At 37.9% G+C, this 22,947-nt stretch overlaps 1 protein-coding gene across 14 annotated transcripts in view, besides 1 other annotated feature; it reads left to right on the forward strand.

The window, feature by feature from the left end:
- ANKFN1 (ankyrin repeat and fibronectin type III domain containing 1) overlaps nucleotides 1-22,947 on the forward strand; it is a 470,940-nt gene that overhangs the window by 300,381 nt on the left and 147,612 nt on the right. For all 14 annotated transcript variants that reach the window (XM_047435502.1, XM_017024263.2, XM_011524430.3 and 11 more), the window contains 2 exons: nucleotides 4,309-4,510; nucleotides 7,379-7,589. In XM_047435502.1, coding sequence (XP_047291458.1) covers nucleotides 4,325-4,510; nucleotides 7,379-7,589 — 397 coding nt within the window. In that variant the 5' untranslated portion in view covers nucleotides 4,309-4,324. The remainder of the gene's footprint in view (nucleotides 1-4,308; nucleotides 4,511-7,378; nucleotides 7,590-22,947) is intronic.
- Nucleotides 12,544-13,743: an enhancer, noted in NCBI's record as "MED14-independent group 3 enhancer chr17:54436362-54437561 (GRCh37/hg19 assembly coordinates)". NCBI's record gives its function as "activates an origin of replication core promoter dependent on BRD2, BRD4, P300/CBP and CDK7 cofactors, and independent of MED14, by STARR-seq in HCT116 cells {active_cell/tissue: HCT116}" and the evidence as "EXISTENCE:reporter gene assay evidence [ECO:0000049][PMID:35650434]".

The raw sequence follows: 22,947 nt of genomic DNA on the forward strand, positions 1-22,947 counted from the left end.
TGCTTTTACCATGAATGTAAACTGTTGGTTTCCAAGACTGCCACAGAGCTGGAGAAGATGGGAATAGGGCAAGTTAAAATGCCACAAAGCTTGCTGTTCTTACTAAATTTAGCCATTTTTCTTGAATAAAGACATCCTGGATTGCTGCAAGCCTTTGGTTAATATCCCAGATCCTGAAAAAGTTAATTTTAGCCATTTTTGCTATGGTTCTCTTTGCTGTTATGGAGAAAGGGACTTTTGGAAGTCCTTTCTCTGCCATTCCCATTGACGTACTATTTTTTTTTTAATTTTGAATCTTTATGTGAAATTTTTTTTAGGTGTACCATTTGTAAATGGCTTTTTAGGAATTCTGCTTGGAGAGTCTTTGTCTTTTATTAGGAAAAGTAAACTTTTGAATATATTGTGCACACAGATATATTCAACCTATAGTTTTGGTTCTGGAATTTGGCAGGCCCAAATGAAATTCTGATACTGTTACCTACAATCTCTGTGACTTTGGGCACCTTATTTAAATTCCCTGAGTTTATTTTATCATTTATGAAAAGACAATATTAGGACATTAACCTTATGACTTCATTTTACATTTTCTATTTATTATGTTTTTTTATTTTTTTATTTTTAAATTATTTTAGATTAATCTTTATTCCACCCTTCCCTCTAATAGTTTGAAGTTTCCACTTCCTATATCTGTTTTAGTATATGTTACTATAAACAAACACACAGAAGTCTCTACTTGAGTACATAAAATTAGTTTCAAGACATTATTTAAGACAAGCAATAAAACTATTTAAATTGTTATGATATACTTTGGTGTCTCTATTTTGAGAAAAAGACTTAAGGTGATAATTTCTACTATTTATTGAGTGGATACTATGCACAAAACAGAATAGGTACCTTTCATTTGTTGATTAATCTTCACAATTCTAGAAAAAAAGAGTTTTGATAAGTGTCTTTTGATAATGATGACATGAATTCATAGAATTGAAATGAGATTCCCAAAGTCACACAGATTATAGGTAACAATATCAAGATTCCAATTGGGTCTACCAAATCCCAAAACTAAAGCTACACTGATTCTCAAATGCTTGTCTCTTTCCATAAGGGTAAAAATTTAAGAGCACAATTAGTTGGGAGGGTCATGCATATTTGTAATAACAAATAACAGAAAGTTGTCTTTCTTACCATCTTATCTGACAAAATTTTAAATATAGAGGAGAAAAAGAAAACATAATGATAGATGAAAGCTAGAAGAGTGGAAACGGCTACAGAATAGCCTGGAAGGAAGGGACAGCTGGGGGAGGATGAGAAGGAAGTCAGAGAGACAGAGAAAGTCAACCTATGTTGACTGAAGGGAACAGATGGGAGATGAGCAAAGACAAAAGGGGCCATGTGGGTAGGTGTCATCAGTTAGAGGGCAAGTAGCTGGAATTTGATCAATAGACAAGAATTTATTTACTGGACTTCTGGGCATTGTGGGAGATACAAAAGAATGTAGAGTTATTTTGGGAACAATAATGATGTAGAGAAAACAGATGGCTTGAACTGGGGCATTAATGCTGAAGGAAAAAGCTAGAGACAGAAGGCAGAAAGAAAGAGGTTAAGGCAATCCCCATGTGAGCCAGCTTGCATATGAATCTGAAATTTTTATGAGAATGGAAAAAAATAAGTTAGAGAAAACCTCCTATTTGCTATTGAATCAAAGGTAAAGGATTTGTAGATGGAAGAAAAAAGATGCCAGATAACCTCCCTTTCCATTTCTACTTTTGAGAATGTTATTAAAGATTTATAAAAACATACACATACATACACATTACAGACAATGCTTGGCATCATCCTTCCAAATGTAAATATGTCCATTTAGCTAAAACTGGGTAGGGCCTCCTGGACATTACTAAGATTGACTAAGTAGGACCACCTTAAAAGGATCTAGGAAGTCTTTTTGTTTTGAAGAAAGTTGCAGACAAAACTTAAAAGGTGCCTCAGCAAAAGAAACTATCATCAGAGGGAACAGACAACCTACAGAATGGGCAAAATATTTGCAAACCACGCATTTGAAAAGGTCTGATATCCAGCATCTACAAGGAACTTGAACAAATTTATAAGAAAAAACAACAACCCCATTAAAAAGTGGGCAAAAGACATGAACAGACACTTCTCAAAAGATATACATGTGGCCAATAAACATGCAAAAAAGCTCAACATCACTGATCATTAGATAAAATCCACAATGAGTTACCATCTCACACCAGTCAGAATGCCTATTACTAAAAAGTCAAAAAACAACAGATTCTGGCCAGATTGTGGAGAAAACAAAACACTTTTACAGTATTGGTGGGAGTGTAAATTAGTTCAATGATTGTGGAAGACAGTATGGTGATTCCTCAAATACCTAGAGGCAGAAATACAATCCCAATACTGGGCATACACCCAAAGGAATATAAACCATTCTATTATAAAGATACATGCATGCATATATTCACTGCAGCACTATTCACAACAGCAAAGACACAGAATCAACCTAAATGCCCATCAATGATAGACTGAATAAAGAACATATGGTATATATACACCATGGAATACTATGTAGCCATAAAAAGAAATGAGATCATGTTCTTTGTAGGGACATGGATGAAGCTGGAAGCCATTAGCCTCAGCAAACTAATGCAGGAACAGAAAATCAAATATTACACGTTCTCACTTATAAGTAGGAGCTGGATGATGAGAACACATGGACACATGGCGAGGAACAACACATACTGGGTCCTGTCAGTGAGTGCGGGCTGGGAAGAGGGAGAGCATCAGGAAGAATAGCTAATGGATGCTGGGCTTAATACCTAGGTAAACGGATAATCTGTGCAGCAAACCACCATAGCACACATTTACCTATGTAACAAACCTACACATCCTGCACATGTAGCCACGAACTTAAAAGCTGGAAAAAAAAAAAGCCTGAGGACATTTAACAATATAATGAAGATGAATCTCCATTTCTTAAAGTCAAGGCGAATCAAAGTTAGTTTGTGCTAGCAGACATGGAACCCAGTTCAAAGGCATGAGGATGAAATTAACTTCTGGGTAGTGCTCTAGTATATTAAATATAATAGACTCTCATATGTGCACTCATTTATTCTAAATTATCTATTGAAAGCCTACAACAACAAAAATATTAGCTACTATGAGTCTTCCTAGATACTAGGCTCCTAAATATTTAACGTGATGGGAATCCCAACTACACTGATTTGATCTTTATAAATTATATAAATGTACTAAATTATCACATATACCCCAAAATGTGTATATTTATTATATACCAATTTTAAAAATTAAATTTAAAACATCTGAGGGGAAGTGGTGAGAAGGCAGTGACATGCTCCAGAGAACGCTGGGCCCAGTGCATCAGAGGCTCTACCAGGGAGACACTTTGCACATAATTACCTTGGCTAGTTATTTCTCTCATTCCTTTGTTCATCCAATACATATACACATGCCAGGCAGCCAGAGTCTTGATAGCATCAAAATTTCAAGAGCAATACCCACAGTTATTGTGGATGGCTTTTGAATGGCATGGCTGATCTGGAAACTGACTTCAGTTGTGACATTGGTGAGGACCTCGTTAGAGATTTCTGAAACAATGGTCAAGTACTAATTGAAGAATGCCAGTAGTGAGTGCCTTGGTGGGCCCCAGCCAGGGTATCTGGGGTAAGCAGGGATGGACCTATGGGTACAAATTCCCCAAATTTATGCATACTGGGATAGTTCACCAAGCCTCAGATGGACAGAGGACAGATGCAAGTTAACTGCTACCTCAAGAGATTGGGGCTATGCAGAAGGTAACTTGTGTCTGTCCATCTGAGACAAAGCCTCACTTTCTTATATACCCAACAGAAGCCAACATCTAGGTGGATGTAAGTAGAAAAGTCCCAATTATATATACCCAAGAGGAATTGAACAGACCCCCTAGGTTACAGAGAGACACTTCCTCACTTGGGATAGAGAAGTAAAGACTTGAGTCGAGGTTCAATCATATATATGTCTGTATGTGAATGAATATGTTTATATAGTAAATGGAGGTTGTCGTTTCATTCCTGCCACCAATTAGCTCTGTGGCCATGAGTAAGCTGCTTCCTTTCCCTGGGTTTCAGCTTTCTCATTTAAAACATAAAAAAAGCTGGGTCTGATAATCTCTAAGGTCCCTACCAGCTCTAATATTGTATTTGGATTCCAGATACTGACTGGAGATGATAAAATCATATGTCAACTTATAATTTGTGGTGTAAAAGATATAACATCGGACTTTCCTCTTCTTAGGAATTGTCGTGTGAAAATGACGCAACAAATGCAAAATTTACATCTCTGTCAGTCAAAAAAACATAGTGCTCCCTCATCTCCCAACGCAGCCAAACGCCTGTACAGGAACCTCTCTGAGAAACTGAAAGGGAGCCACTCTTCCTTCGATGAGGCCTATTTTAGGACAAGAACTGATCGGCTGAGTCTCAGGAAGACCTCGGTGGTAACAAAACTGTTTTTATTCTTGTGTCAGTTTGATTTATTCATTTATGTTTGGGTTTAAGGATATTCTAAGATGATTCATGTTTACTTCAGAAGTTGATGCTTGCAATTTTATAAATGCTGGAATAGATTCAGGTAGGGTAGTAACTGTACATATTTATGTTGTTAGACAAAGTCTGAGTGATTGTGAGCTGTTTCTCTTTCTTTTTGTTTCTTTTTCTTCTCTCTTAATTTTTATTTCACCACTACACCAAAAAATAAATAAACCTCAAAAAAAAAAGCAGCTTGACAACTATGAAGTCTCAGGTTAAATGGGCTTTCTGAGAGTTCCAGTGTTCATTCAAATAATGATATTATTACTTATTTCTGATGTATACCACACATTCTTTCCAAAGGCATTCAAAATAGAATCCAAAGAATGCACATGTATTATATGATAGACAAAGAGAGAGGAGGAAGGAAGGAAAGTAAGGGAAAAATATAAAAAAAAACAACTAGGAAAAGAAAATATTGGGTATAAGAATAAAAATAGATATATCAAAAACTCTAGGCAAATATAGTACCTGTACCTGAAATTTATCATTACATTCATCTCTGACTTCCCAGAAAGTCAAAGCAGAAAAAGAAACACAATTGGTTATAGCATCCCATCTGTTGATAACTAAAAATGTCTCAGTCCATCAGGAGGAATGAATATTCACCTGTTGCTCAGTCCTCTGGACCTTGTAGATGTCATAGTGAGTTATGTAATAGAGAATGGCGTAAATAGTGGAACTCATGATGTTACAGGTATTCTCATATAATAGTTTCTCAGAACAGCCCTCAGTAAAAGCTGAGAGCATAATATTAACATGCTCAGCAAGGGGATTTTTGCAGGGAGTAATGGCACCATTTGTTTGCTCTTAAAACAGAAATGAGTCCTAGCCTTTCCAGATAGAAGCATGCCAAAGTTTGCCAACAAAAGCTTGGAGGAGGAAATGACTTAAGAGTGAGAGTAAATACGGCACATGAGAAATTAGGAATACTAAGAGCCAAAAACAAATACACGACTGTGGACAGGGTGGCACTTTAACTTTGAACTCGTTTGTTTTCTAATATGTTTTCGCATTTCAAACTCATCTTTTGGGAGGACTTGGCTGTGGTTAAATCGGGGCCTAAGCATCAGAGGCTCTTCAGTTTAGCAGATTGTGGATAAAACACTTTACCATTCAGCAGATTGTCTTGTAGCAAAGAAAACTGCATACCAAAATAGCTTTATTCCCTGGGTCCCCATTGTCAAAACAAGCATTTGCATAATAGCTTTGTATTTTCCTCAAATTTCAATTTTGTGTTATGTACTCAGCTAAAGCTGACCTGCAGCCTTTGATAGGGAGAATTGATTTTTAATGAGACTAAAAATAAAACCTGACCACCTGAACATTTGGTCACTGGAGATCTTCCACATGTTAATCAGGTGACCCCTATGCAGGTTAAAACCAGTGGTATTCCAACTCTTTTAAAGACCAAGCAACTCTTGGTGAAGATACCAGATAGATGTGTAAATAATACGTGTGTTGGTCTTCTCCCATGTGCTAAGAAATATGTACCTAAAAGAATTCCGGAGTTCTTCTCTTTTATTTACTATTAATCCTTGGAAAGAACTTTTCAAAGGAACCATATTTTCTTAAGCTATTTTTTTCTACAAGTGAAGTGTATTCTATAAATATTCAACTCTGGTCCCATGAGGCCCAAAACCAATTTGCCATCCAGCCATTGAAACCCTCCCTGAACACTACCACTTGGACTCCTCATCTCAGGGCTCAGAAACTATCAACCCACAGGAGCTAGCAGATATTTGGAAATAAGGAAGTAACATGTAACATGTATATTTTAGGAAGATTATTCTTGTATCAGTATAGAGTGAGAGCTGGGGGAGACCAAGACTAGCAGCAGACAGGTCATTGCCATGGTCCAGACATGAGATGACAATGTAGAGGCTGGGGATGGAGAGGGAGGGGTGAGTTTGAGGAAAAACAGAGAAAGTGTACTCTCAATTCCAAGCTAGCCATAACTGCTACCTGTGCTAACATTACCTATGCCAGCATTTCTCAAACTGTATTCTGTAGAACACTATTCCAGGAGTAGTCAAAGCAAATGCAATAAAATACATGTTAAAATTATTAAAGACCCTGAGGAAGCCTACAGGGAAGTAATGGGGTACACTTGGTTTAATCTAATGTTTATCAAATTGATTTGACCACATGCTATTTTCTTCATAGAACATCTCTTAATTACTTTTTTTTTTTTTTTAAGAGCGTCTCTCTCCGTTGTGCAGGCTGGAGTTCAGTGGCGCAATCTCAGCTGACTGCAACCTCTGCCCCCTGGGCAGGAGGTGATCCTCCTGCCTCAACCTCCAGAGTAGCTGGGATTACAGGCACCCAACACCACACTCGGCTAATTTTTATATTTTTTGTAGAGATGGGGTTTCACTATGTTGGCTAGGCTGGTTTCAAACTCCTCGCCTCAAGTGATCTGCCCACCTTGGCCTCCCAAAATTCTGGGGTTACAGGTGTGAGCCACCATGCCCAGCCAAATGAACTATTAGAGTATTTTTCAGAAGACTGGTTTGAGAAAAGCTGAGGTTTGCTCTTATCTACAGCCCAGCCAGGCTATCCTGTATTCTCTCAGTGCACTTATTCAATGTCCATTAGAAATGACGGAGGGGAAGCCTAACAGAGTGTTTACTTTGGAGACCTTGGGATAAATTGTAGTTATTCCACTTATAAGTGGACATGCAGTCCCTGAAACAGTCTTTAAACTTCAAAAGAGCTAAGCTACAAAGACACACTGGTTTAAGAAATTGTGCTGATCTACTTTTGCTCCTCTCTAGAATTTCCAGGGCAATGAAGCCATGTTTGAGGCAGTCGAACAGCAGGACATGGATGCTGTGCAGATCCTCCTGTATCAGTACACACCAGAAGAACTTGACCTCAACACACCTAACAGCGAGGGCTTGACACCCCTGGATATTGCCATCATGACCAACAATGTGCCCATTGCAAGGATTCTTCTGAGGACAGGGGCCCGAGAAAGTCCACACTGTAAGTAACCTGAGAATAAACACATGTACTATTAAAGCCAGATTCCAGCCTTATGCCACCAAAATAGCCATTGCTGACTTTCAGAGCAGGAATGGTTGACTAAGCATAGACTCTGATAGGCTTTGGATGTTTTCATGGGCTTTCATGCAAATAGTGACAGCATTTATTGGTCTAAGCATCAAGTTCCTTTCTAAATAGAATATGCCGAATGGCATTAAAAAGGAACCCCCAAAGAACTTCTAAGAATTTTATTGCAAGCTTTAAAATATGTGAGATACTCCAAGTGAGGATATAGAATAGGAGATATATATAGAAGAATGAGCATTTGCGTGTTTCTGTTTTGTATCCACAGTCAATGCGGTGGCTTCATTCATTCATTCATTCATTCATTCAATAAACACTGAGTGTGGGACACTGTTCTAGGTGCTAGGAATGTAACAGTGAACAAGACAAAAGTCCCTATTCTCATAGAAATTACATGCTTGTTGGGAATACTTCCAATAAGCAAGTAAATAGATAAAATACAAACTCAAAATAGTGATAAACGCTGTGAAGAAAATAAAATGGATGAGTGGCTGTAGATTGATAGGGAAGGGACTATTTTAAATAGGGTTGATACCCATTGACCAATCTCTCACAATCCCCACCCCTCAGTCTTCGGTAAACACTGTAATTTCTGCTTCTATGATATCAACTTTTTAAAAAAATTCCACATGTAAGTGAGATCACGCCATGTTTATCTTTCTTTGCTTGGCTTATACAACATTTTCTTTATCTATTCATCTATTGACAGACACTTAAGTTGATTCTACACCTTAGCTATTGTGAATAGTGCCATAATAAACATGGGGAAGCATATATTTCTTCAACATACTGATTTTATTTCCCTTGGATATATACCCAGTAGTGGGATTGCTGCATCATATGGTAGTTCTATTTTTAATTTTGACAATTAGGTAGGAGGAATGTCTGGTGTTTACTGTACAGTAGGGTGATGTTGGAATGGTTAACAGTTAGGTATTGTATATTACAAAGTAGCTAGAAGAGAGGCTTTTGAATGTTCTCACCACAAAGAAATGATAAATGCATGAGGTTATGGATACACTAAATACCCTAATTTAATGATTATACAACATATATGTATATGAAAACATCCAGTTGTACCCCATAAATATGGGCAGTTACAATATGTCAATTAAAAAATGAATACATAAATAGGGTTGGGCAAGAAAAGCCTCTCTGATGTGGTGATATTTGAGTTGAATTCTAGAAGATATGAAGGAATGAACTATGAGAAGATGTGGGGGTCAAATTCTCGGCAGAGTGAATGGCAAATAGAAAGATGCTGAGGCAGGCATGAATAAGACTGACATACTGGAGGAACAAAAAAAGTCAGTGGGTCCAAAGCAAAGTAGCAAGAGGGAGAATGATGATTGAGAGAGAAGTCACAGGGACCAGATTATGCAGGACCCTGAGACCATGGTCAGTGTTCAACTTTAATTGTGGAGTACGATGGGAAGGCAGTGGAGCAATTTAGGAAGGTAAATGACATATTCTGATTTACATTAGAAGATCACCACAGTGCTCTATGGAAAAGAGACAGTGGTGAGGTAATTGTGAAATTGAGAAGACCAGTTACAAGGTCATTTTAGTGGTGCAGGAGACAGACTGGATGCTTGGACTAACATCACAGTGATGTTGAGTAGTGTCAGAATTCTGGATATATTTTTAACAGCTTTATTGAGATACAATTCACATACCATAAAATTTACCCTTTTGAAGTATACAATTCAGTGGTTTTTAACATATGCACAGAGTTGTGCAGCCATCACCACCATCAATTTTAGAGCTTCATTGCCCTGAAAAGAAACATCATACCATTGACTATTATCACTCCCCAATCTCCCCAACTCTTCTCAGCTCTTGACAACCATGAACCTACCTTCTGTTTCTATAGATTTGCCTGTTCTAGACATTTCATGTAACAGAATTATATAATATATGGTCTTCTGTGACTGGCTTCTTTCTGGATGTGTTTTGAAGTAGAGCTGATAGTACTTGGGGAAGAAAGTTGCACTGGGGCTAATGGCAGACCCCACCCAGGAGTGGGTGGGATAATATCATGCAGCACTCACCCTGTGCCAGGCACTTTTCTGAGCACTTTCCATGTATTGACTCCTTTAATCCTCACAGCAACATTATGAAGTAGGCACTCACATTCCCCTTAGTGAAAACTCTCTGACCCATTGACCACAATGGCTGTGAGCCACTGTTTTTATGTTTCCTAAAAGAAAAAAGTAAACTCATCAAACTGTTAGTTTCACTAATACTGATTCACTTACTTCCAAGTGGTGAGACCCAGAAGGCTGAAAGAGAAGCAAGCAAATATATAATTAGAGGTCACATCTCTGCTCCTAAATTTCGTAAATCGCCACCACCCAAAGACTAGGTACAGAAGCAGATCCTTGTATCAGAAAATTTCTTACTATAAAAATGCTAAGCTTACCATATCCATGTCAGAGACAGTGAAGATTTGGATTCAGTAGGATTTGAGCTCTTCAAAAGAGCTCTATAGTCAAAGTGCTGCCCCTTTTTAGTGGAACTGGAGGATTTGGAAGGATGATAAATGAGGATGGAAGAAATTGAAATGGCATCTTTGCTGCCTTCCGGTTTATTCTGCAACAACGTCTGTCCCAAAGATCCAGTGACAGAAGGGTGGAGAGAGAATCAGAGGGTCTGAACATGGAGAATGCAGACTGAGCCCCATTCTACAGGAACAAGGAGACCATTCATCCAGATGTTGCCATGGCCATCCTGCACTGGGCTGGATGAAACATTAGTCCTACTCACTTACCTGCGACACTACAAAAAACTCTGCATTTTCTGTGAAAACAGTAAGACTCCCTACCTCCCAAAGCCCCCTGTGCATAATTAAACCTCTGTAAAAGAACTCAAGTACTAAATATCTAGTTAAACCAAAAGCAAATTTGTTCAAGAGATCCCTGGTTTTCCTCCTCATTCTCTCTGGGATGATAGCCATGTTACCATCACAAAGTTGTAAAGGACAAATGGTGGGAGATAAACCCAGGTTTCAGCCTCCAGGAAACATGACACCTAAGTCACCTTGGCTACCTAAGAAGGCAAAGAGATACGACCACATATAGACTTACATGTGTAAAAATGGCAATGCAATATTGGTTGTGTACCTATGAAGTCTCCACATACAACATCTCTGGTTTTCACACTAACCCTACAGGATAAAGTTATTAACTCCATTTTAAGAGGAGGAACTTGTGATTCTGAGAAGTTAACTGACTGGCCCAAGGTCACACATCCAGGAAATGAATAAGGATGCCAGGGACTCAGGCCCGGATCTGTAGGATGCCAACACCTGGAATCTTTCCACACAAACTCACTGCCTTTCCACATAACCAATATGGAGGGCCGTGGCCTCTGGGCCCCTGCATCTCTCCCTTTCTACTGTTTGCTAAAGTCATATGATGTATTTCTTTGTTCTGTTCTGCGCACTAAGGTGTCAGTCGTGTTGGAGAGAGGCAGGATAGAAAAACATAGTGTTTTCAGGCATTTTTAATTCACTTTATATATCAAGTACAAAAGAAGCAGAATGCTTCTGTACGTGAGTTTGAGCAGGCCCAAGAGGAAAACCAGTCTGCCAGCCAGAACCAGATAAGCAAACACCTGCCGTAAACTGTTCCCCAGAAGCTAAAGAGGCAGGATATATAAGAGAGGAAAATTAATGATGAGGTCTGAAGTTCTTAGAGTGTTTTACACCTACAAAAATGGTTTTGTCTACATCATCTCCCTTGATCCTCACAACTGGCTTGTGAGGGAGACGTTGTTTTCTTCATCTTTATCAATAAAGAAATCGGAATTTTAAAGGTCAAATAGTTATCCCAACACAACAAAGTTAATAGGTGGTGCAGTCAGGATTTGAACCCAGATCTGTATTAATTGCCTTGGTGTTTGTGAGAAAGCTTTGGCATGCTCACTGTTACACATTAGATGCTCAATTCCTCCCTATTTTGGCTCTCCATCTGCTCCTCTTCTAATGACAGTTACATATTTCAAAGCAGAGTGCAGACTCCAGGGTTTCTAACAAGGTTAATTTTCTTTCCTCTCTTTCTCTGTGTATTCTCTTCTGAAAACTAGCTCAGTATTCTTTTCACTATGCCAACCAAGTATCCTCACACAATTCAGAAGAACATCCTCTGTAGTTTTCTCCATTTCTTAACAGGAATCACCGTGACACACAGGGTTTAGGGACTTAACTAACTCCCAAACCATTGGTCAGGCCTGTCTTCTATCTTGAACCCCTCGATGCCAGAGCCACATGGATGTGTTCTTTATAGGCATAGCTTGAAACTCAACCATCTGTGTTTCCTTACTCATAGAAAAATCCCAGAAGCAGCCATCTAAACTTGTACACTGCTCTCAAGTTAAATATATACAGAACCCCAGCCTACTCATTAGACGAATCTACTATCTTTATTCAATGACTTTTTTCTGTTCCTCCTACCTTTTTGCAAACAGCACAAAATAATATTCTTTCCTTGCAGAAAAACAATCAGCCATTATTGAAGTAGAGTCCCAAGTACTTTCTTGCAGACTGATGTGCTGAGCTTAGGAAAACAACCACTGAATCTGAAAGGACTGCAACTAGGAAAGCCAATGTATAGAGGCACCACAGGACACCCATGGGTATGCCATGGACTGTTTCATACACTTAGGATCCCAGTCGCTATGACTCATGTTCAATTGAACAACTGCTATCAAAGAAAGACTTGTTGTCTCTGTATATAAAAGCCCCCAGTCATAAACCCCTCCCTTTTTCTGACTAACTCGTATTCTGCCCCCACCCTCAAACCAACAGCCTCCAGGAGGAGTTTGCTGAATCATCGATGGGAGTCTTGCCTTTCTGAGATGGCCATTAAGACCCCATAGATAGTAATCATAAAGAAACCAGCTCTTTTGCCTATTGTGTACAAATCTGGTCACTCACAGAGATTTTATTTCATTCTTTGACTCCAGTACCTAGTACATAGTAGATGCTCAGAAAATTACAGTTGAAATTTTAGCCTTTGTGACAGCCTTGTCTTATGCTACTGGGAGTCACAGATGTCAAGTCTTAGTGTGCACATACACAGTCACTATGTGTATCATCGACACAGACACACACACATGCATACACAGAATGTAGGGAAAAAAACCTTCAAGTCTTCTAGTAACTTAAACTTTGGGGCACCTTTTGTTGTTAATAATGCTGTTATTGTTTTCCAGACATTGTTACAGAATTTGGTTGTAGATGTAGCCTAGTTGTTTTTATTTTTACACTATTTAATTACACAGACCAGTAAGAATGGTGGAATACCTCTCTGTTTCAGTCTTTCTGCCCTTTCCCTTAGCTACATTCTCCTTCTCTCTAGTCCCTCTCCTCTCCCTCTGCATTTCTTGGTGAATGCCTCCCTCTAACTTTCTCTCAGATGCTGCCTGTGGAACTAGAAAGTGTCACTCAGAATTTGTTATGTCCAGTTACTTCATAAAATGCAATTACAGAATTGCTGTCATTTGAGTATGGTGCAGACACCAGTGTTACAATTTTGGCAGTCTTGTCAGGATGCACCACTCATTTCTGCAGTAGTAAGGGGTTCGTGTTTGTGCTGGGACTGGTCAGGGCATGTCTAAGAGGTGTGACTATAAACTAATGAGGCTGGTTTTATGTAAACAAACACACTAGAAAGTCTACAATCCAAGCGAATGTTACCCTTCCACATGGTCCTCCTGGGAGACCCCACACTTGCTCCAACAGTGCTGCCATTGCTCTGAACACTTTGGAATTGTCCTCAGAGTCAGTTTATGAGAAAATCTGACTCGTTGCTGAGAGTCACACCTGATTTTTGTTCCAAAACAGCATTGCCTAGCGTCATCACCCTCTGTGTTCACCAGACTTGGCTTCAAATTATTTAGAGAGATTTCCTGAAATCAAATCCACCCTCAAAGGACAAAGATTTGCAGCCAATAAGAATATGTAAAGAACAAGCCTTAGACAGGTCTCTATAATGAGCCCTCAATATTTTTTTCTGCTTCACTAAAATAGGGGTATAGATCTTCACCCTAACTTACAAATCTGTTCTTATACTGTGCACTCCTCACCCACACCACCCTCCATTCTGTTCCTGTAACATGCCAGGCTATCTTACCATAGGGCCTTTGTACTGGCTATTCCATCTACTTGGAATGCTCGAGTGCTTTTAATCTTGTTCATTACATGGCCAAATCCTTCTTAACATTCACATTTCAGCTTAAATGTGACATCTTCAAGAGAGGCTTTCTCTGGCCACCAAGTCCAAAGTCTAAAATGACATTTTCTCATCACATCACTCTCTTGTCATTTTGTGCATAGCACTGACAATTTTTCTCAATGTTTTTATTTGCTTATTTTCATCTCCTCTGCAATAGAACATAAATTCCAAAGGACAGCACCTCTCTCATTTATTACTGAGTCCCCAGCAAACAGTAGACACTCAACTGAATTTAATTGAATCAATCCCAAGCCTATTTCTTTTGAGGGGTGTCAATATATTATCCCTTATGAAAAGAATGATTTTAGTTAGTATTGGGCTCATTGATCTTTTTTATGTTTTCAAATAATTATTTAAACATCAGATGGCCAAAACCTAAGTTCATGTCACCTATTCTTTGAGTTGATAGTTGCATTTTTCTGGTTTTTTGCTTTAAAATATTTAATTGACAAGACTGTATATATTCAAGGTATATAATGTGATGACTTGATATATGTGTTGTGTAAAGATTATCATAATCAAACTAATTCACAGATCCATCACAACCCATGCTCCACATTAGATCCCCAGATCTTGTTCATCTTCTAGTTGAAAATTTGTACCCTTTGATCAATATCTCCCTATTTTCCCCACCCCTAGCCCATAGCAACCACTATTCTACTCTCTGTTTCTGTGTGTTTGACTTTTTAAATTTCCAGATTTAAGTGAGATCATCCATTATCTCTTTCTGTGTGTGGCTTTTTTTACTTAGAATAACGTCCTCCAGGTTCATCCATGTTGTTTTATAGCCATCTTTTTTTTCTTTTTAAAAAAATTTTAAATATACATGCAACATAGAATATCTTCTCCTTGTCAGAAATGAAAAGATTATAGATAAAGTTAAAAGGTATCTTTGATAGCCCACCCAACTAATCCCCACGTGCACACACAATCTAGGTTCCCATCCCCCAAAACCCAAAATATATCCATTGTTATCAGTTTAGAGGGTATGCAGACTTTTCCCCATGAGTTTTAACATAAACATAAAAACAATAGAATTGTTTGGGGAGCAGCTTTTAAATTAAACCCTTAGAAAAGGCTAAAAATTAAATTTCTGGAGTCAGAGAGCTCTGGCTTCAAATCCCACATCTGACCTTTGGTAGCTGTGGGAAAATTCCTTACCCTCTCTGTGGCCCCATTTCTTCATTTGTAAAATGGATATAATAATTGTACTTAACTTGTATTATTATATATTGCTGTGTAATAATTACCCCCAAACAGCAACTAAAAATAGTAAATGTTTGTCTCATGTGAGTCTGAGTTGGGAATGGCTTTAGCTGGTTGGTTATGGCTCAGTCATAATCTCATGTGACTCCATGAGATTGCTGTCATTTTAAGGCTTGATTGAGCTAGAGGACCCCACTTCCGAGCTTACTCATAGTGGCTACTGGCATGAGCCCCACATTTCTTGCTATATGGGTCTCTCCATATGGCTACTCTATGACATGGCAGTTGGCTTCCCCCAGAGAAAATGATCTGAGAAAGAGAGAAAGAGAGACCAGCCAAGGTGGAAGCAACAGTGACATGTATAACCTAATCTCAGAAGTGACATAGTGTCATTTCTGCAGAATTCTGCTGATCTCACAGAACAACCCTGGTTGTTCAGTGTAGGAGAATACTATACAAGGGTGTGAATGCAAGCAGACATAGGTCACTGCAGGCCCTCCTGGAGGCTGGCTACCTTATTACCCATATAAGATTATTGAGAATTAAGTGGAATAATACCATTAAAACATTTATCACATTACCTGGCCAATTGTAATTGATTTCTAAAAATTGTTAGCCAACATAACTCTCAAAAACAAAATAAAATGACCCAAGAGTTTCTGGTAAAGAATTTAAATATTTTACCCATTAGTTATATAGTTTGTATTCCAAAACACTTCCTATGAAGCACTTTTTAAAATTTGTATAATTTTTATGTTCTAAAACTACACTGTCCAACACAGAATCCACTAGCCACATATGACTATCAAACATTTGAAATATATCGATGCCATTGACCAATGGAACAGAATAGAGAGCCCAGAAATGAAACCATGAATGGACGGTAAACTGCTTTTCAACAAAGTTACCAAAAACATACAATGGAAAGAGAATAGTCTCTTCAATATACGGTGTTGGGAAAACTGTATATCCACATGCAGAAGAATGAAACTGGACCCTTATCTCATACCATATACGAAAACCAACTCAAAATGGAGTAAAGACATAAACATAAAACCAGAAACTGTAAAACTACTAGAAGAAAATATAGGGGAGAAACTACATGACATTCGTCCAGGCAATGATCTTTTGCATATAAGCCCAAAAACACAGATAGCAAAAGCAAAAGTAGGCAAATGGGAGTAAAACAAACTAAGAAGCTTTTTCACAGCAAAGGAAACAACAGTGTTAAGAGACAACCTGTGTATTGGGAGAAAATATTTGCAACCCGTACATCCAATAAGGGGTTAATGTCCAAAAAATGTAAGGAATTCAATTCAACAGGAACAAAATAAATAAATCAATTTAAAAATAGGTGGCCAGGTGCAGTGGCTCATGCCTGTAATCCCAGCACTTTGGGAGGCCAAGGCGGGAGGATCATGAGGTCAGGAGACCGAGACCATCCTGGCCAACATGGTGAAACTCCATCTCTACTAAAAATACAAAAATTTGCTGAGCATGGTGGCAGGTGCCTGTAATCCCAGCTACTGTAATCCCAGCTACTCGGGAGGCTGAGGCAGGAGAATCGCTTGAACACGGGAGGCACAGGTTGCAATGGGCCGAGATCGCACCACAGCACTCCAGCCTGGGGACAGAGGGAGACTCCATCTCAAAAATAAAAATAAAAATAAAAATAAGCAAGGAACCTGAATAGGGTTTCTTAAAAGAAGACATACAAATGACCAACAGATATATGGAAAAAAAATGATCAGCACCTCTAATCTTCAGGAAAATGCAAATTAAGATCACAATGAGAAATGAGATATCATCTAACACCTGTCAGACTGGCTATTATCAAAAAGATGGAAGATAAGTGTCGGTGAGGATGTGGAGAAAAGGAAACGCTTGTACACTGTTAGTGGGGATGTAAATTAGCACAGCCATTATGAAAACTAAGTGGAGTTTCCTCGAAAAACTAAACACAGAATTACCATATGACCTAGTCATCCTACTTCTGGGTATTTACCCAAAAGGTTTGAAATCAGTTTGTCAAAGAGATGTCTGCACTTCCATGTTCACTGCAGCACTATTCACAATAGCTAAGTTATGAAATTAACCTAAGTATCAATTAACAGATGAGTGGATTTTTAAAATGTTATATATTATATATATACATAATTGAATACTATTCAGCCTTTAAAAAGGAAGGAAATGTCATTTGTGACAAAATCGATGGAATTGGAGAACATTCTGCTAAATGAAATAAGCCATGCACAGAAAGACAAATGTCTCATGTTCTCACTTATTTAGAGTCTTGTGGACTCTAAAACGATTGAACTCATAGAAGCAGAAAGTGGAATGGTGGTTACAGAGTCAGGGGGTTGGGGACAATGGGGAGATGACAGTCAAAGTGTACAAAATCTCAGACAGGAGAAATAATTGGTTTTATTAAATTTATTGCACTGTGTCATGAAGATAGTTAATAACAGTGTATTGTACATTTCAAAATTGGTAAAAGAGTAAATTCCAAATGTTCTCACCACAAAAAAAAGATATATATTTGAGGTGATGAATATGTCTAGTTAGCTTGATTTAATTATTCCACATTGTATTCACAAATCATAATATTACTTTGTATCCCATAAATACATGACATTATTATCAATTTATAATAAAATAAAATTTAAAAAAGAAATGTGTCTAGTGCAAATGAATAAGTGTTCTAAGTGTAAAATTACATTGATTTCAAAGTCTTAGTACCAAAAATAACATAAAATATAAAATTAATAAATTGTATATTGATTGCATGATGAAATGGTAGCATTTTGGATATATCAAGTTAAGTAAAATATATTATTAAAATTAATGCAACCTATTTCTTTTTGCTTTCTTATTGTCATTACTAGGAAATTTTAAATGATGTGGCTCACACTATATGTCTATGAACAGCACTGAAAATATTGGCAGAAAACATGGTTATCTTGTTTCATTACTTAAACCTCTTATGATGCCATGGGGCAATTTCCTTTGAATTTTCTAAATAATCCACTCAAGTGGCTTGCATGTTGTGCTTTTAGAGAAGATGTCCATTTTCCCCTTTGAGTTTGATGAGTTCCAAAAGTTCCTTTCTGTGTCATTTGTTCTGGCTTCTTAAGAAATCACCAGTTACAATCTAAGTTATATAAGGACTTTGTGAGTCAACATCCTCCTGGAAAGTTGCAGAGAACACTTCAGAGCCCCATGTCTGGGTGTAATAAGTTATAGGAGAAGAAAGTTTCACAGTCATTAAAATGAAACATTTAATCTCCAGATCTCTAAAACCTTTTTGGAACCACATCTCAATGTCCTTGGGAAAATCTGAAAATGTAATAACAGCTTGAGACCTAAGTGAAGCCAAAATGAGTCTTGCGTCCTGAATCTTAAGATGGATAAATTGGAACTATGTTTTGTGTTTCTCTGGTATAAGAGTTTTTGAATTAAAAGTATTTAATTTTTAGAATTCCCCTACATTACTTTGCCATTCCTACCTTAAAACAAGTCAGTAGTGAAGTTGTTAGAAGGTTGTCGCTTATAATCAGCAAAAATAAATTTTATTAACTGCCCAGAGTATATTTGTTACAATGCAACGTTCAAATCTAAGTGACCTTGTTTTCTGCCTTGAAATAGCAGATGGGGTTGAAATTGATATCACTTGCTAGTGTATATTTCTGAACAGTAGCTAGGATGGAAAAATTTTATTTGAGGCAAGAGGGGTTTTTGATGGAAGAACATAGAGTTATTTTATAAAACAAGTATTTTGATTTATTTTGTGTGCTTCTAAAAGTATAAGATCAATGGATGTAATAATAATAAGCAACCCTCCACTGAGAGTCTTCTATGTAAAGATTATCATTAATTTGTTACAAGTTATAAGACAAGTGTTGTTACAATGCCAGTTTTACAAATGAGAAATTTGGGCTCAATATAGCAGAGTAACTAGTTAGGATCACCCATATGTAAGGGCAGCGCTTGAGCTATAGAACCCCAAAGCCCTTTTACCACGTTGCTTGCAGTTTGGAAGTACAATCACATGCACATAACATTTCAGTCAATGGTAAGCTATGTATATGAAGGTGGTCCCATAAAATTATAAGGCAGCTAAAAAATTCCTATTGCTTAATGATGTAGCTGTCATAACATCACAGTGCAATGCATTATTCACATGTTCATTGTGATGCTGGTTTAAACAAACCTACTGTGCTGCCAGTCATATAAAAGTATGGCACATACAGTTATGTACAGGACACACTACTTGATAATGACACTAAACTACTATGTTACTGTTTCATGTATTTACTATACTTGTTATCATTATTTTAGACTGCACTCCTTCTAATTATTTAAAAAATAATGGTTAACTGTAAACCAGCCTCAGGTCCTTCAGGAGGTACTCTAGAAGAAGGCATTGTTACCATAAAAGATGACAGCTCTATGCGTGTTACTGCCCCTTAAGAACTTCCAGTGGGATAAGATGTTGAGGTGGAAGATGATGATGTTGATAATGTTGACCCTAGGCATAGGCGTAGGCTAGTGTGTGTGTTTGTGTCTTGATTTTTAACAAAAACAGTTTAAAATTTTTTTTAATTTTTTAAAAGCTTATAGGATAAGGATATAAAGAAAATATTTTTGTACAGTGGTACTGTTTGTTTGTGTTTTCAGCTGTTATTACAAAAGACCCAAAAAGTTTTAAAAAGTTTATCAAGCAAAAGAGTTACAAAATGTGTGGCTCTAGGGAAAGCAGAAAAATTGTCAGAAGGAGCCAACCATAGCTCAAGAGAAGCTGTCCATCTATGCTAATTTATTATTGATAAAGAATTTTTTATACATTTAGTGTAGCTTAATTGTACAGTGTTTATGAAGTCTGCAGCAGTGTCAGTAATGTCCTACGTCCTCACATTCACTCACCACTCACTCACTGATTCACCCAAAGCAACCTCCAGTCCTGTAAGCGCCATTCAGGGTAAATGCCCTATACAGCTCTACCATGTTTTATCCTTTATGCCATACTTTTAGTATTTTTAGTGTACTTTTTTCCATGTTGTAATAGATTTAGATATACAAATACTATCGTGTTATAGCTGCCTACAGTAGTCAGTACAGCAACATGCTGTACAGGTGTATAACCTAGAAGCAATAGGCTATACCATAGAGTCTGGCTGTGTGGTAGGCTATGCCTGCTAGATTTGTGTAAGTATACTCTGTAATATTTGCACAACAATGAAATTGCCTAAGGATGCATTTCTCAGAACATATCCCTGTTAGTAAGTGACACATGACTGTAATTGGAAAGCAGATTTCAGTTCAGGATAAGGAAACTTTAAAATTCGGAGTTGTATGAAAATGGACAAGGTCATCTCAGTGAGTTCCCCTCATGTAGGAAATTACACAGGACCAAGGGTACTAAAGGGGAGGTAACTGAGGTTGGTTGTAAGGTATCCTTCTAACTCTGAGATTAAATGATTGTCTTAGTGCCTCATTTTCTCATCATTGAAAAACAGGAACATACCCATAATAACAGAAAAGCTGTTACTAAATTGAAAAATGGCACATCATTAGTAATAGACAAATGTGTCCGTCTTTTTCAAGCAAACCAAACAAATTGTTCCCTAAAATTCTTAATTAAAAATTAAAATTAGTTTACATGTTACACTCATTGTATTTTCAAGCTTTGAGCAATTATCAGCCAGGCCCAAATTTAGCAATTGCAGGCAAGGGCAAAGTTAAGAAACTGTAAGTAGCAATCCATAGGTTAGATTCTAATGGTGAAGAAAATCCCTTCAGTCCCTGATCATTGTTTATCTCGGGATTTAAACAGTAACTCTAATTGTATTCTTTGAACACAAATTCCTGCCCCATCCCCCACCCCATCCCTTGGTTAATTAGCTGCATAGGTCTTATAACAAATGCCCACTCAGAAGCACTGGGAGGTAGAAATGCTGTTGATAATTAAACACCACAATAGCACAGAGCCTGTTTCAGGAGCCACTGAGTGGTCTTGCCCCTGCTGGACTGCTTACCACACAGTCACAGACCCTCCATTGTGCTGGTATGGCTGCTCAGAGGGATAGCTGCTTGGCTGGAGAAGGAACCAACTGCAATGAGAGAAAAGACCAAACCTTGCAGAGATCAGGAGTATGGCCTCCAGGGAAAAGTGTCCTGTGGGTGGAAGTGAAAGGGGAATGAATCCAAGAAAAAGAGAAGTGGATGGGCAGGAATGATAAAACAGACATAGCCTTTCTATTTTCTAAATCAAACCAACCAGCCAAACTGAGTTCACCAATTTCATACCAAATAGATAACAATCAGGAAATTGTAATATATAAATAATAGGTTGATTTGTATTCTATTTGGTTTAGAGAAAATCCACCGAGTTCTTTAAGGTTTAGATGAAGATCATGAATAAGTCATCCCATCTCCCTGGGTCTCAATTTCTTCATCTTTAAAATAAGGAAGTTGAAAATAGCCCCATTCTGCCATCAGATCCAGAGGCTAGTAGTTACACTTCTGTAACACCAGATGTTAGTGACAATGAGCCTGATCACTATAAATATTCTGACACCACTGACTGATCCAGAGAATGAACCTTTTGATGAAGATCAGCATACACAAATTACAAAAGTCTGAAATTTTTTTATCAAGAGGTATAAAACACCATGAAAACAAACTTGAATAAACTGAAAATGAACTTTTTTTTTTTTTTTTTTTTTGAGAAGGAGTCTCGCTCCGTCTCCCAGGCTGGAGTGCAGTGGTGCGATCTTGGCTCACTGCAACCTCCGCCTCCCAGGTTCAAGCAATTCTCCTGCCTCAGCCTCCCGTGTAGCTGGGACTACAGGTGCCGGTCACCACGCAAGGCTAATTTTTGTATTTTTAGTAGAGACAGGGTTTCACCATATTGGTCAGGCTGGTCTCAAACTCCCAACCTCAGGTGATCCACCTGCCTCAGCCTCCCAAAGTGTTGGGATTACAGGTGTGAGCCACCGCGCCCGGCTGAAAATGGACCTTTTTTTTTAATGGCAATAGGACATTGTGTCAGATTACCAGTTATAGCAACAATTCTCTTTTCCTGACCAATCTTGTTTTACCCTATACATCCACAGGGTTTTGACACTTGTTGTCCAGTTGAAAAAAGGTTGTGTAGCTGTGTCATGTATATACCTTGTTGTGTCAAAAGGACATTTAAAATTCAATTAGGATTAATAAAGGTGGCACTTTCCCATTTTATTCCAGTTTCATAAAAAGTGGAGACAGACTGAGGTGTATACATAAGAATTTTTTCCTTTTGTGTTCTGTCGCCAACTGAAGTGGCTAAAGAGCTTTGTGATATACTGGTTCACATCCTACCCCTTTGCACTTGTGGCAACAGATAAGTTTGCAGTTGGCTAAGAGAAGTTCCTGAAGGGTTTTGCTGCATTCTAATGCATGTATTCGGGTTAGGGGAATGGAAGGAATGCTCAGAAAGGAAATACATTTATTCTAGACTCTGGACCATACACCATCTCCAGCTATTTACGCACACCTTTCTTTAGCATGCTACAGTTATTAATCTGGACATTCAAGGAATTGGCCACTGTCACTGCTTGTTGTTTGCACATTTTTTTTAAAGCACATTGGTGCTAGAGAAGGCAGCTAAAGGAAGTGAATCTGTATTGGGGTACAGGAATGAACCTTCTGCAACATCTTAAGATCCACAAATGAAGGGATATAAAAATAATGTCATAGATAAGAAGCACAGCATCAATGATTTCACCATATAAATGTGGAGGCTATCAACAAAGAATGGGCTTGAAACATTATAAAAATTGAAAATGATTTAT

Source organism: Homo sapiens, chromosome 17, assembly GCF_000001405.40.
Source record: "Homo sapiens chromosome 17, GRCh38.p14 Primary Assembly".
Taxonomy (NCBI): domain Eukaryota; kingdom Metazoa; phylum Chordata; class Mammalia; order Primates; family Hominidae; genus Homo; species Homo sapiens.